The sequence below is a fragment of the Homo sapiens genome, chromosome 6 (genome assembly GCF_000001405.40).
Source record: "Homo sapiens chromosome 6, GRCh38.p14 Primary Assembly".
In the NCBI taxonomy this organism is placed as follows: Eukaryota; Metazoa; Chordata; class Mammalia; order Primates; family Hominidae; genus Homo; species Homo sapiens.
The window spans coordinates 47,219,896-47,233,104 of NC_000006.12; the positions used below are offsets into that span (position 1 = coordinate 47,219,896).

At 39.5% G+C, this 13,209-nt stretch overlaps 1 protein-coding gene across 1 annotated transcript in view; it reads right to left on the reverse strand.

The window, feature by feature from the left end:
- Nucleotides 1–11,636: 11,636 nt before the first annotated feature.
- The window catches only part of TNFRSF21 (TNF receptor superfamily member 21), a 78,374-nt gene continuing 76,801 nt past the window's right edge, over nt 11,637–13,209 (reverse strand). The window contains exon 6 of the mRNA NM_014452.5: nt 11,637–13,099. Within this exon, the coding sequence (NP_055267.1) occupies nt 12,870–13,099 (230 nt within the window). The 3' untranslated portion in view covers nt 11,637–12,869. The remainder of the gene's footprint in view (nt 13,100–13,209) is intronic.

Consider the following 13,209-nt stretch of genomic DNA (forward strand, 5'->3'; position numbering starts at 1 on the left):
CAAGACAGGGATGCCCTCTCTCACCACTCCTATTCAACATAGTGTTGGAAGTTCTGGCCAGGGCAATCAGGCAGGAGAAGGAAATAAAGATGATTGGTATGGGAAAATTTAAGGTAATTGTTGAGGAGGATGTGGAGAAATTGGAACCCTTTTACACTATTGATAGGAATGCAAAATGATGCAACCCCTATAGAAAACAGTATGGAAGTTCCTCAAAAATTAAAAATAGAACTATTGTTCTATTGTTCTATTGTAATCCAACAATCCCACGTCTGGGTCTTTATCCAAAAGTATTGAAATCAGGATCTTGAAGAGATATTAGTGCTCCCATATTTATTGTAGCACTATTCATACAATAGCCAGGATATAGAAACAACCTAAATGTCCACCGATAGATGAATAGACAAAGAAAATGCATATATAGACAATGGAATATTGTTCAGCCTTAAAAGAAGAAAATTCTGTAATGTGCGACAACCTGGATAAACCTTGAGGACATTATGATAAGTGAAATAGTCACAGAAAGACAAATACTGCATGATTCCATTTATATGAGGACTCTAAAACGTCAAATTCATAAAAGCAAAGAGTAGAATACTGTTTCCAAGGGGAAATGGGGAATTAATAATCAACAGGCCTAAAGGTTCAGTTAAGCAAGATGAATAAGTTCTAGAGACCTACAGTACAACATTGTGTCTATGGTCAACAATACTATACTGTACACTTAATATTTTAAGGAAGTAGACTCATGTTAAGTGTTCTTAACACATGTAAAGTGAATTTTTTTAAGAAAATAAGAATGAAATTGTAGCAATTAAATAGAAGTAAGCATCAGAGAGATAGCACTTTTCTTTTTTCTTTCTTTTTTTTTTTGAGACAGAGTCTGGCTCTGTCTCCTAGGCTGGAGTGGTGGCACAATCTCACCTCACTGCAACCTCTGCCTCCAGGTTCAAGCGATTCTCATGCCTCAGTCCACCATCACACCCAGATTTTTTTTGTATTTTTAGTAGAGATGAGGTTTTACCATATTGGCCAGTCTGGTCTCAAACTTCTGACCTCAGGTGATCCGCCTGCCTCAGCTTCTCAAAGTGCTGGGATTACAGGCGTAAGCCACCAAACCCGGCTGAGATAGCACTTTTCAATTTTAAATTCTTACTTAGTTGCATGTCTTCATAACTTTTTTATTTTTTATTTTTTGAGGCAAGGGCTCACTCCGGTTGCCCAGGCTGGAGTACAGTGGTGCAATCTCAGCTCACTGCAACCTCGACCTCCCAGGTTCACGGATCCTTGAACCTTAGCCCCCCAAGTAGCTGGGACTACAGGCATGCACCACCATGCCCAGCTAATTTTTCGTATTTTTAGTTAAGACAGGATTTCGCCATGTTGCACAGGCTGGTCTTGAACTCCTAGACTCGAGCAATCCTCCAGCTTTGGCCTCCCAAAGTGCTGGGATTACAGGTGTGAGACACTGCGCCCAGCCCATAACTTCATAAATTTAAGTTCGTGCCACTACACTCTTAGTTGAATGACTATAATAAAGAATATTGCCAATACCAAAGACTAGCATGGATACAGTGCAAGTGAATCTCTTATACATCGATATGGGATTATATCATACAATACTGTTGTAGTAGTTATTAAGAAATTATTTTAGGCAGATAGAGAGGAAAAGGGATCCTTGGGAAGTTTTCGTTTTTAAAGCAGCTCTTAGAGCCAGGCTGGCAACCTTTCATATGCAAATACAGGACATTAGAAACTGGGTCCACCCAAACATGGCAATTCCCGCGGCCTTCTTGCCCTTGCCCCACATGATCCTAGCAACACGCCCAACCCCCCCTATCCCCACGTGTGTGGAACATCATTACGCCCTGCATTTGCATATTAAAAGGCTAGGGTGAGAGTGCCAGCTTTTTCACCGGCTACGTGAATGACATGCCTGGTCAAACCAATCCCCTGAGCCCTATGCAAATCAGACACCACCTCCTCCAGCCTACTCATAAAACTGGCTGGTATCCGTGGCACTTAGGGTTCCCTCTCTCAGCTTTGGAGCCCCCCTCCCTCTGTCTCTATACAGAGGAGCTTCTTTCTTTCTTCTCCCTTCTTTCTTGCCTACTAAACTCTCCGCTCCTTAAAACCACTCCATGTGTGTCTGTGTCGTTTTTTCCAGTTAGACTGGAGACAAGACCCCTGGTGTTCCTCCACCCATTGGAGCCATATCAATAGTACCACTACTGTGAAAACAGCTTGACAGTCTATTATAAAGTTAAACATACACTTACCATACTCCCCAACAATTAACTCAGGTGTATTTACCCTAAAGAAATGAAACATACACCCCAAAAAACTCAGGTGTATTTGCCCTAAAGAAATGAAAACGTAGGTCTGCACAAAAACCTGTATACGAATGTTCATAGCTTTATTTATAATAGCCAGAAACTGGAAACAGTCCAAATGTCCTTCAATGTTTGAACGGTCAAGGAAACTATGGTACATCTTACCATGGAATACTACTCAGCAATTAAAAAGAACAAACTATATTTTTCTATTTTTTTCCTGCTACGACAAAAAAAAACTTTAAAATATTTTTTACAGACATGAGTGCTTGAAAAAGCTCTTAACTATTATGGAAATGAAAACATTAATAATTAATGTTAGTATAACAGACCTCTGAATGTTAATACACTGGAAAAATAAAACTTAAAATGAAAATGAATCTTAAAGCTCTGCTATCTCAGTAAGAACATTTACCTTCTATTTTTCTTTTTCTTTACAGGTGTTAATGATTAAATACTGCTAATATAAATAGTTTTATATTAATGACACACTTTTTAAAATAGTCCATGAAATTTGTTCAAGTTCCTTATGGATGCTGGAAATTAGACCTTTGTCAAATTCACAGTTTGCAAACATTTTCCTCCATTCTGTAGGTTGTCTCTTTACTCTGTTGATAGTTTCCTTTGCTGTATAGATGCTCTTTAGTTTAATTAGATCCCATTTGTCAATTTTTGCTTTTGTTGCAATTACCTTTTTTATCTTTGCCGTGCAATCTTTGCCTGTTCTTATGTCCAAAATGGTATTGCCTATGTTGTCTTCTAGGGTTTTTATAGTTTTGGGTTTCACATTTAAGTGTTTAAGCATCTAGAGTTGATTTCTGTATATGGTGTGGGGAAGGGGTCTAGCCTCAATCTTCTGCATATGGCTAGTCAGTTATCCCAGCACCATCTACTGGATAGGGAGTCTTTTCCCCATTACTTATTTTTGTCAGCTTTGTCCAAGATCAGATGGTCTTAGGTGTGTGGCCTTATTTCTCGGTTCTCTCTTCTGTTCCATTGATCTATGCTCCTGTTTTTGTAAATTTACAAGGAAAAAAAAACCCATTATGAAGTGGGCAAAGGATATGAACAGACCCTTTTCAAAAGAAGACATACATGCAGCCAACAATCATATGAACAAAAGTTCAACAACATAACTGATGATTAGAGAAGTGCTAACCAAAACCACAATGAAATACCATCTCACACCAGTCAGAATGGCTATTATTAAAAAAGTCAAAAAATAACAGATGCTGGTGAGGTTGTGGAGAAAAAGGAATGCTTAAACATTGTTGGTTGGAGTAAATTAGTTCAACCACTGTAGAAATTGGTGTGGTGATTCCTAAAAGACCTAAAAGCAGAAATACAATTTGACCCAGTAATACCATAACTGAGTATATCCCCCAAGGAATATAAATCATTCTATGATAAAGGCCAGGCACAGTAGCTCATGCCTGTAATCCCAGCACTTTGGGAGGCCAAGGTGGGCAGATCACTTGAGGTCAGGAGTTCAAGACCAGCCTGGGCAAAATGGTGAAACCCCATCTCTACTAAAAATACAAAAATTAGCCAGGCATGGTGGCACACACCTGTAATCTCAGCTACTCAGGGGAGACTGCGACAGCAGAATCACTTGAACCTGGGAGGCGGAGGTTCCGGTGAGCCAAGATCATGCCACTGCACTCCAGCCTGGGCAACAGAGCGAGACTCCATCTCAATAGAAAAAAAAAAGAAAAGAAAAAGAAAATGTGGTACATGTATACCATGGAATACTATTCAGCCACAACAAAGAACAAGATAATCTCCTTTGCAGGAACATAGATGGAACTGGATGCCATTATCCTTAGCAAACGATTTCAGGAACAGAAAACTAAATACCACATGTTCTCACTTATAAGTGGAGCTAAATGATAAGAACACATGGATGCATAGAGGAGAACAACACACATTGGGGCCTATTGGAGGTTGGAGGGTGGGAGGAGGGAGAGGATCAGGAAAAATAACTAATGGATAATAGGCTTAATACGTGGGTGATGAAATAATCTGTACAACATACCCCATGACACAAGTTTACCTATTTAACAAACCTGCACATGCACCCCTGAACTTAAAATAAAAGTTGTTTGTTTTTTTTTTGAAGTCCATGAAAATCTCACCTTAAGTATTTGTTTTGTTTTCTTCCTAACACTGATATATAAATTGGGACTCTTCATTCTGGGGAAAGCATCAAGTTCTCTCCAGCCCCATCCAGGTGAAGAATTTCAAAATTGTGAATAAGGAGTACTGATATGCAAAACAATTGTGGTCCGATCTCAAGGGAATTACGCCAAGTGAAATAAGGTCAATCTCAGAAGGCTATATCCTTTATGATTCCATTTATTTAACATTCTCTAAATCACAAAACTATAGTGATGGACACAGTTGCCAGGGTTTACGGTTGAAAGTAAGGTATGAATATAAAGTTAGCAGAAGGAGGTTTCTTTGTGTGAAGAAATGGTTCCATATTCCGATTATGGTGGTGGTTACCAAGTGAACCAATACATGTGATAACATTTCATATCCACCCCCAAAAAAGTACAGGTTAAAAACTAACATGAACTATGTTCTGTAGTTTCAGTTAGTAATATTGTACCAATGTCAATTTTCTGATTTTGATAATGTCTATGGCTACACAAGATATTTATTCTTAGAAAAAGCTATGTGAAGAATAGAGAAACTATTAAAATAAAAAGCTAGGTGAAGGAAATAGAAACTCACTGTGATATTTTTGAAACTTGTGTGTCTTAAATTATTTAAAAGAACAAAATCTTTTACTAAGGAAAAAGCCTGCCTACCTCAAAATTCAATTTCAGTTGAGTCCAGGTGAGAGGCTCTAGGAAAACAGGAATCAGATCCACTTTATTTGCCATTTTGTCTCCAGGATTTACCACCATGCCTGGCTCACTCATCTCTGTAACAAGCCTTCCTGGTTATACCCTTTACTAGCTGTGTGACTTTAGGAAAGTCGCTGTCTCTCTTCGCCTCAGATTCCTCATTAGTAGAATGGAAATAACAGACCCCACATAATAAGATTCAGGTTAAGATTGAAGAGTGAATAATGTCAAGTGCATTGAATACTTTATAGGAAGAGTCTTTCCATGAGGGGACATATATCCTTTCTACCCTCTGAGTATGTGATATGCACAAAGGAGTAGCATGACTGGGCCTCACGTCTTGTCTTGTAATGATAGTAAACAATAAGCCTGGGAAATGGTGGAACAACCAATTTATAAATGATTCAAAATCCTTGCTTATAAAATCATGTCTACTGTATACCTGTATTTTTCCTTTTGTTTTCTTCCCCTTTTCATCTTCCTTCCTCAAGCTTTGAAATGCATGGAACTGCAACTGTCAGCCCTTTGTTTTTGATGCAATTTTCTTTAAAATTAATAAGAAAGAAGGTTTACAGTAGGGATCTTGCAATATTTTTCCTTGATTCATATTTAGTTTCTGGCTTTCCTAATATTCTCTTCATATTACTATCACTTCACTCGGATACATTTGATGATGTTCATAAATCTGTTTCTCTTTCTAAGTTGTGAATTCTTGAAGCCAGGACCATGCATTCATTTATTTATTCAACATTGCAGTGACAGAACACCTACCATGTTCCAGGCATGGGTCTAGATGCTGAGAATACAGCAGTGAACTAATGCCTTGTTCTCATTGGTAGTTACAATCTTGTATCAAATTCTTCTTTGTACTTCTAGCTTCTAACATAGTGCCTGGTAGTTGCTCAAATATTTCATGGATAGATGAGTGGAGTGATGAAATGAATGTTTCTGTGGGTGAGTGCACTGTATTTAAACAGCAACAACAACAAAAAAAAAAACAATGCTGTGAAATTGGCTGTTCGAAGTTTCTGGAAGCAGTGAGAAACAATTGTCATAGGATTCTTGGAAATGAGCTGCCTTTCTGCCTTCTCCTTCCCCATGAGATTCCCTGTTTGGCATGTTGCTGTGGATAAAGCAGTAGATGAGTGACAATGAGACAGTGCCAGTGCAGAACAGAAGTATCTCCTTTGGAGAGATGAACTGCTGAAGGATCCTTAAGAAATCTTTGATATTTTTCCTCACAGAGACATTGATTATGAGAGATGTCTTTTTTTTTTTTTTTTAGACAGAGTTTCACACTTGTTGTCCAGGCTGGAGTGCAATGGCATGATCTAGGCTCACCGCAACCTCCTACCTCCCAGGTTCAAGCGATTCTCCCACCTCAGCCTCCCAAGTAGCTGGGATTACAGGCATGAGCCACCAGGCCCAGCTAATTTTGTATTTTTAGTAGAGAGAAGGTTTTTCCATGTTGGTCACCTCAGGTGATGCACCTGCCTCGGCCTCCCAAAGCGCTGGGATTACAGGCATGAGCCACTGTGCCCGGCCTGATTATGAGAGATTTCTGTGCTAAGAAATATAAAAAGATGTTTTGGCCAGAAATTAGCTACTCTGCCCCATCTCCCTAAATTTCGAACTTTGAATTCTCTCCATTTGAACTTTGTATTACTTTTGTGTTTGTGATCTAAGCCCAAGAAAAGGATGTCAAATTCTCATAAAGAGGTTGTGGAGGGATGGGGAAGGTGGCCACTTCTCCTGGAGAGCAGGGCAAGAGGCTGATTCCCTTTGCAGATTTTAGCAAAACGCTCCTCACAAAGCTATTGCTAGCATTTTAAGTCTAGAGCATATGACTCTTACCATCAAGTGCACATTTCCTGGATGCCATAGAAACATTCTACAGTTTTTATTTACAACTTTTTGAATTCAATAATATATACAAATGATGTACTACTCAAAATGCTCAAAAGAACAAATCATGACAAGAACGTGTCCTTCTTTGCCTCCTACCTCCTTGCTAGCCCATTTTTCTTCCTAGAGGCGCCCATTGGCATGTTTCTTATGAATCCTGGCAAGCTATTCTATGAATATCTATATTGGAAATCCGAGACTCCAAAATCCAAATGTGTTTCATGTAAACAGCTACTTCAAAGTCCAGTACGATAAAAGCCTTTTTAAAACTCAATCCTTACTCAGATGAGTGGATCTCATTTTCTACTTACTTTCAAGAAAGGTAGTAAGAAAAGAAGCAAAAAGAGATAGATTGGAATCATAAAAGAGTGCTGACAGGTGCTAGGGTGACCAGGCTCCACCACTAACTAGCAGATGTGAGTCTAGCTCCCCTACCAGAAAACCGCAGGGTTCTCCAGGTGATGTCCGAAGCTCCTTCCAAGGTAAGGACCTCAGTTCTGCTCAACAAGAGATCACATCTTTTTTCTTAAGTCAAAGACCAGCATAGGTACCTGTTACATCTGCAGTATTGTACGAGATTGCTGCTCCAAATGGGGCAGTCTGAGACTCTAACATAGTCAGGGCAGTTTTATCACTCATTATATCTCACTGTATCTCTTTGAAAATTGGCATTCTATCAAATATAAATATAGTAACTTAAATCAGAATAACATCATTTCCCAAATATTCTTGACTAATAATACCCTATACATTATGCTAAAAACCATGAAGAATTGATTACTGTACTTGCAGGTAGGTTCATCCATGCAATTGAGCTTTAAGGTGTTGCCTCATTAGTGCTTGGTGTGTATCAATTCTTAGCATAATCACATAAATCTTACTGTAAGGTTATGGGTCCTAAAGCAAACATGCAGAGTCAAGTAGGACTGGCTATAGCAAAATCACTTTTCAATTACAGATCTTCAGGTTAACTCCCTGGAAGGTTTGTTCATCAGATCTTGGGTGAGGCTTGAGAAAGTCTCTGTTCCTAAGCTTTAAATACATCGTTCTCCAAGCTGACTATACACTGGGATCTCCTGGAGAGCTTTAAAAAATGCTGCTCAATCCCATTACTGGGTATATGCCCAAAGGAATATAAACCATTCTACCATAAAGACACATGCATGCATATGTTCATTGCAGCACTACTCACAGTAGCAAAGACATGGAATCAACTAAATGTCCACGTATGGTAAACTGGATAAAGAAAATGTGGTACATACGGAATGTGGTACCATGGAATACTATACAGCCATAAAAAAGGATGAGATCATGTCCTTTGCAGGAACACGGATGGAGCTGGAGGCCATCATCCTTTGTAAACTAATGCAGGAACAGAAAGCCAAACACTGCATGTTCTCACTTATAAGTGGAAGTTAAATGATGAGAACACATGGACACAAAGAGGGGAACAAGACATTGGGGCCTATTTGAGGTTGGATGGTGGCCAGGGGAGAGCATCAGAAAAAAATAACTATTAGATACTAGGCTTAGTATAATATTTGGGTGACAAAATAATCTGTACAATAAACTCCTGTGACAAGTTTACACACACACACACACACACACACACACACACACATATATATACATACAACCTGCACATGGACCCCTGAACCTAAAGTAAACCTTTTTTTAAAGCTTCCCCCCAAATAAAAAAAAATTTAAAATTTAAAATTTAAAAAAAAGTGCTGCTGCCTGAGTCCTATCTCCTGTGATTCTGACATTGTTGATCTTGCATATGGCCTGGGCATTGGGTCTCTCAAAGTTTTCCCGCTGATTTCAATGTGTAGTCAGAATTAAGACCCACTACTGTAGAATTTGCCCAAGATTGTCTGGTTCTAGAAATCTCGTTGGGTCATCAGAATTTGTTTACTTCTCTCACATGGAAGTGGTATAATCTCCCATATTAGTGCTACCCTTTGCATGAAACTGAGGCATAATTGGCCTGTTTCAGGCTACCCAGTGTTATCTCATGACCGGGAGCATCCACATCACCCAGGAGCTTGTTAGAAATGCAGCCTCAGGCTGGGCATGGTGGCTCACGCCTGTAATCCCAGCACTTTGGGAGGCCGAGACGGGCGAATCACAAGGTCAGGAGTTCGAGCCCAGCCTGGCCAACATAGGGAAACCCCGTCTCTACTAAAAATACAAAAAAAAGTAGCCAGATGTGGTGGCGGGTGCCTGTAGTCCCAGCTACTTGGGAGGCTGAGGCAGAATTGCTTGAACCTGGGAGGCGGAGGTTGCAATGAGCCGAGATCGTTGCCACTGCACTCCAGAGTGAGAGACTCCGTCTCAAAAAAAATAAAAAAGAAAGAAAGAAAGAAAGAAATGCAGCCTCAGCCCAGTCCCACAGAACAATTAAAACCGAATCTGCCTTTAAGATACCCAGGTGTTTCAGTTGCATATTCAAGTTTAGGGAGCACAACACAGTGGCCTCAAATTCTGCATTCCTAACACAATGCTTCCTAGTATTATGGATACTGCCGGTCCTCATCCACAGTGGCAAGGATCTAAAGCACTTTCTGTAAGTGTAGGAAACTCATTCTGGAATTCACCACAAACCTGAATTGAATTCTCTCCGAATCTGCCTTTTTAATTGACTGCTTATTCCCAGATGATTCTTATTTACATGAAAGTTTGAGAACCACTGATGCAGGCCCAACTTTTTCCCAGAGCAGGACTCATTCTCTTATTTGAAAAGCAGCTCAGTCTAATTGCACTTAGCCTACATCAGCCTAGAGGAAAGTATATTATCCTCTAGAGAAAAATACATCATCTCTTCCTTAGCCCTTCAAATAACTGAAGCTAATCTTTCTCCTGTTGCCTGGTCTTCATTGTCAGGCTTAGATTTGCCAACAGTTGCTCCTGATTCTGTTTCTTACTCTTCCTGGTATCCCCCTATGTCCCCACGACACACTGGAAACCTTTCACTTCAGCCATACTCCTCACAGTAAGACAGGCCAAAGCTAGAGGAAAGCTCTAAAGTGTGCCACACAGTATACAAATGACACTATCATCGGCTCTGATCAGAACTTCTGATTTTTTAATAATGCGGCTGGAGGTTCCATTCTTTTTAGAAAAGCTATATATCATGTTAGTTCAATATTAAGCTTTCATTTAACCACATCTCCTATGTTCCTTCCCTATGGATCATCAACAGATGTCACCTCATTCCAATATTTTCACAAGTACTGACTGACAAATAAATTTCATCACTGTGATCTCTGCCCACTATTTCAGCCAACAAGGAATTTCCGGTCACTGGTCCTAAATACATGGAACAGTCAGTCTTGGATTCAGACAGTCAGAAGACATGGATTCAAGTCTGATCTCTACAACTTTGCTATAGGCCTTACACAAGTTCTTTAGCCTTTATAAGCCTGTTTTTAAATCTATAAAATGGACACAATAATAGTACCTACCTTATAGTTGTGAGGATTCAATAAGGTAATACAAAAATCACTTTGCAAAGTATAAACCTGTGTAAATGTGAGTTATTAACGAAAGCATCCCAAGACACAAGGTACAAATAACCCACAAACTTAATCATAATAACCATTCATTCTTTGTGTTTTCTACCCCCACATGAAATTAGTGGCAGTTCTGAGATCCTCTGAAATGCAAACGCTGTCTCCTCCACTACCATCTGTGACCCATTCTAGTTTGCTTTCCTTCCTGATAAGAGTTCCTGTCTTTTATTGACAAAAGGCGGGGAAACCTGGTGTAAGAACCAGTGTAATTAAATACCAGGATAGTTCTCTAGAAACCAACCATGTGGAAGTGGATGAAACCAGAAAAACCCTTTAATGTCGCTGACGTGGGTGTCCAAATGTTCGGGCAGGGCATCCACTTCCAGTTTCTCACTGAAAGAGGAACTTAAAATTGCTAAGGTTCTGGTTGTTGGAATTCTGTAGAGCCACGGTTCCCAAGCAAAGGGAAACATGCAATGAATATGATATGATATATGATATGCTACAATATATTCTATCAACATGAGATCTCACCCTGCCTCAAGACCATGAGAGCCCTCTGAACTTATTCAGGAACAATGAGGTATCTACCCATTTCCTATAATAAGGACAATCTCAAAAACTGAATTCTCAGACTTAATCCAAAAGACTAGGAAGTGCTTGGTAGTTTTCACTAAAGTCCTTCCCTACGAACCTCCAGGTACCTTTCCAAACACAAATCTATAGAATTGTAGAATACATTATAGCATATCATATATCATATCATATTCATTGCATGTCTCCCTTTGCTTGGGAACTGTGGCTCTACAGAATTCCAACAACCAGACCTTAGCAATTTTAAGTTCCTCTTTCAGTGAGAAAATGGAAGTGGATGCCCTGCCTGAAATCTTTGCTAATTTCCACGATTTACAGATTAGAATAGCTGAGGTTTTTAGAGCACACATACTTTTGCAAAAGACTAATCAAAGAGTCACAACTAGAGGACATGTACAAAGCAAGAAATTCAACGATTAAATATACTCGGACTACTTAAGTAACAAACACCTAATGTTTATTAATAAATTAGTACACTTGAAGGCATTTTTCTGATATCGGTCCTTCACCACTACCCACAAACCCCACCCACACAAAGGGAGTCCACGCCACCTTTGCATTGGAACCTGGCAACTGAGCATTAGAAGGTACATTTGTAAATGGGAGCATAGTTGCAAATATATCAGACAAGGGTTCTTACAGTTGCAGCCATTTTTAATTAAAGTAATTGGTGAAGGAATCCCACCAGGACCAAGGCCTTGAGAGCAGATTGGACCTATTGATTATGTGTATATAAAAAACAAGACATCTTTTAAAGCAAAGCTGGGCAAATTCTCTATGGAAAGGGCGCCACTGGCACTTGATTTTGACTTTCCAAAGTGCAGCAATGTGTTCCAGAACAGCTCAAATCCTAAAAGGTGAAGTTCAAGTTCTTTGGTGGCCCAGTTGTCAAGCCACTTAAATAGCAAATCCTGATGGCTTGAGGATTTCATTTCTCCAGCCCAGAGCATATTAGCATAAGAAGAGTACAAGTAATCAAGCATTCTACACGGTGTCCAGGTGAAAACCATACAATCAGCAATAGTGTGGTCAAGTTTCAGCCATGAATATGAACTATACAAGACATATTTAAAAGATAACTCAAAGTTGAATTGCATTACAGTAACTCAATGGGGTCTTAAATTTTCTTAATCTTTAAGAAAATTTATAAAGGACAAACAATAATAAAAATAGTAATAATATTTGTTTTTAAAAAGTAGGTGTGAATGTTAAGAGACATAAAGACTGCTTATAGGATTCACAAGATGCCATTATACTTTTAAGAAGTTAAGAGCCTCACAATCCAGTGTGTGGGAAAAGTCACACTGCATTTATGGTAAGTTAAGTAAATTTAAAGTGCACAGAATAATCTTGAAAATACATAAGAAGGCAAAATGGAGAAAATATGGAACTTAAAAAACTTTAGTGGTGGGTATTTCACAACAGTTACACCTGGCAAAGGCTTATAAACCAACTTCCCAGAAGAGTTATTTAAAAAAAAAAGAGAGAGAGAGAAGGAGAAAGAACTCAAGCACTGGCCATATTCTCTGTTAAACACACACACACACACACACACACACACACACACAAACACACACACACACCCCAAACAACAAAAATCAGAAACAGAAGAAAATTAAAAAACCACCCTGCCACTAAATTGAGTAATTTCCAGAATGCAGTATCCCTATGTTCTACAGCAGGTCAGGAAGATGGCTATAAACAGAGTCCAGGAGGGTCTGGCTGGCTTCCTGGCTCTTGACTCCAATAATTTCGAATAGCCGGTCTAGTTTGTCCTCAGCCTGGGGAATCTCTTCAATCACCCGCAGCTCCTCAGGATTTAGAAAGTGGAGCATGTCATCAAAGATAGGCTGCAAGTCACAGGGGTCCAGGCGTACCTGCCGCAACACTGTGTCCTTCTTTTCTGCAGAGAAGAGAGGGAAGCAAAGACAGCTGTAAGGTGACTGTACTGGCAAGGCCTGGAGGAAGGAGAGCAGGGTCCTAGAGAGAGAGACATCTATGTCCCCCCCAGCC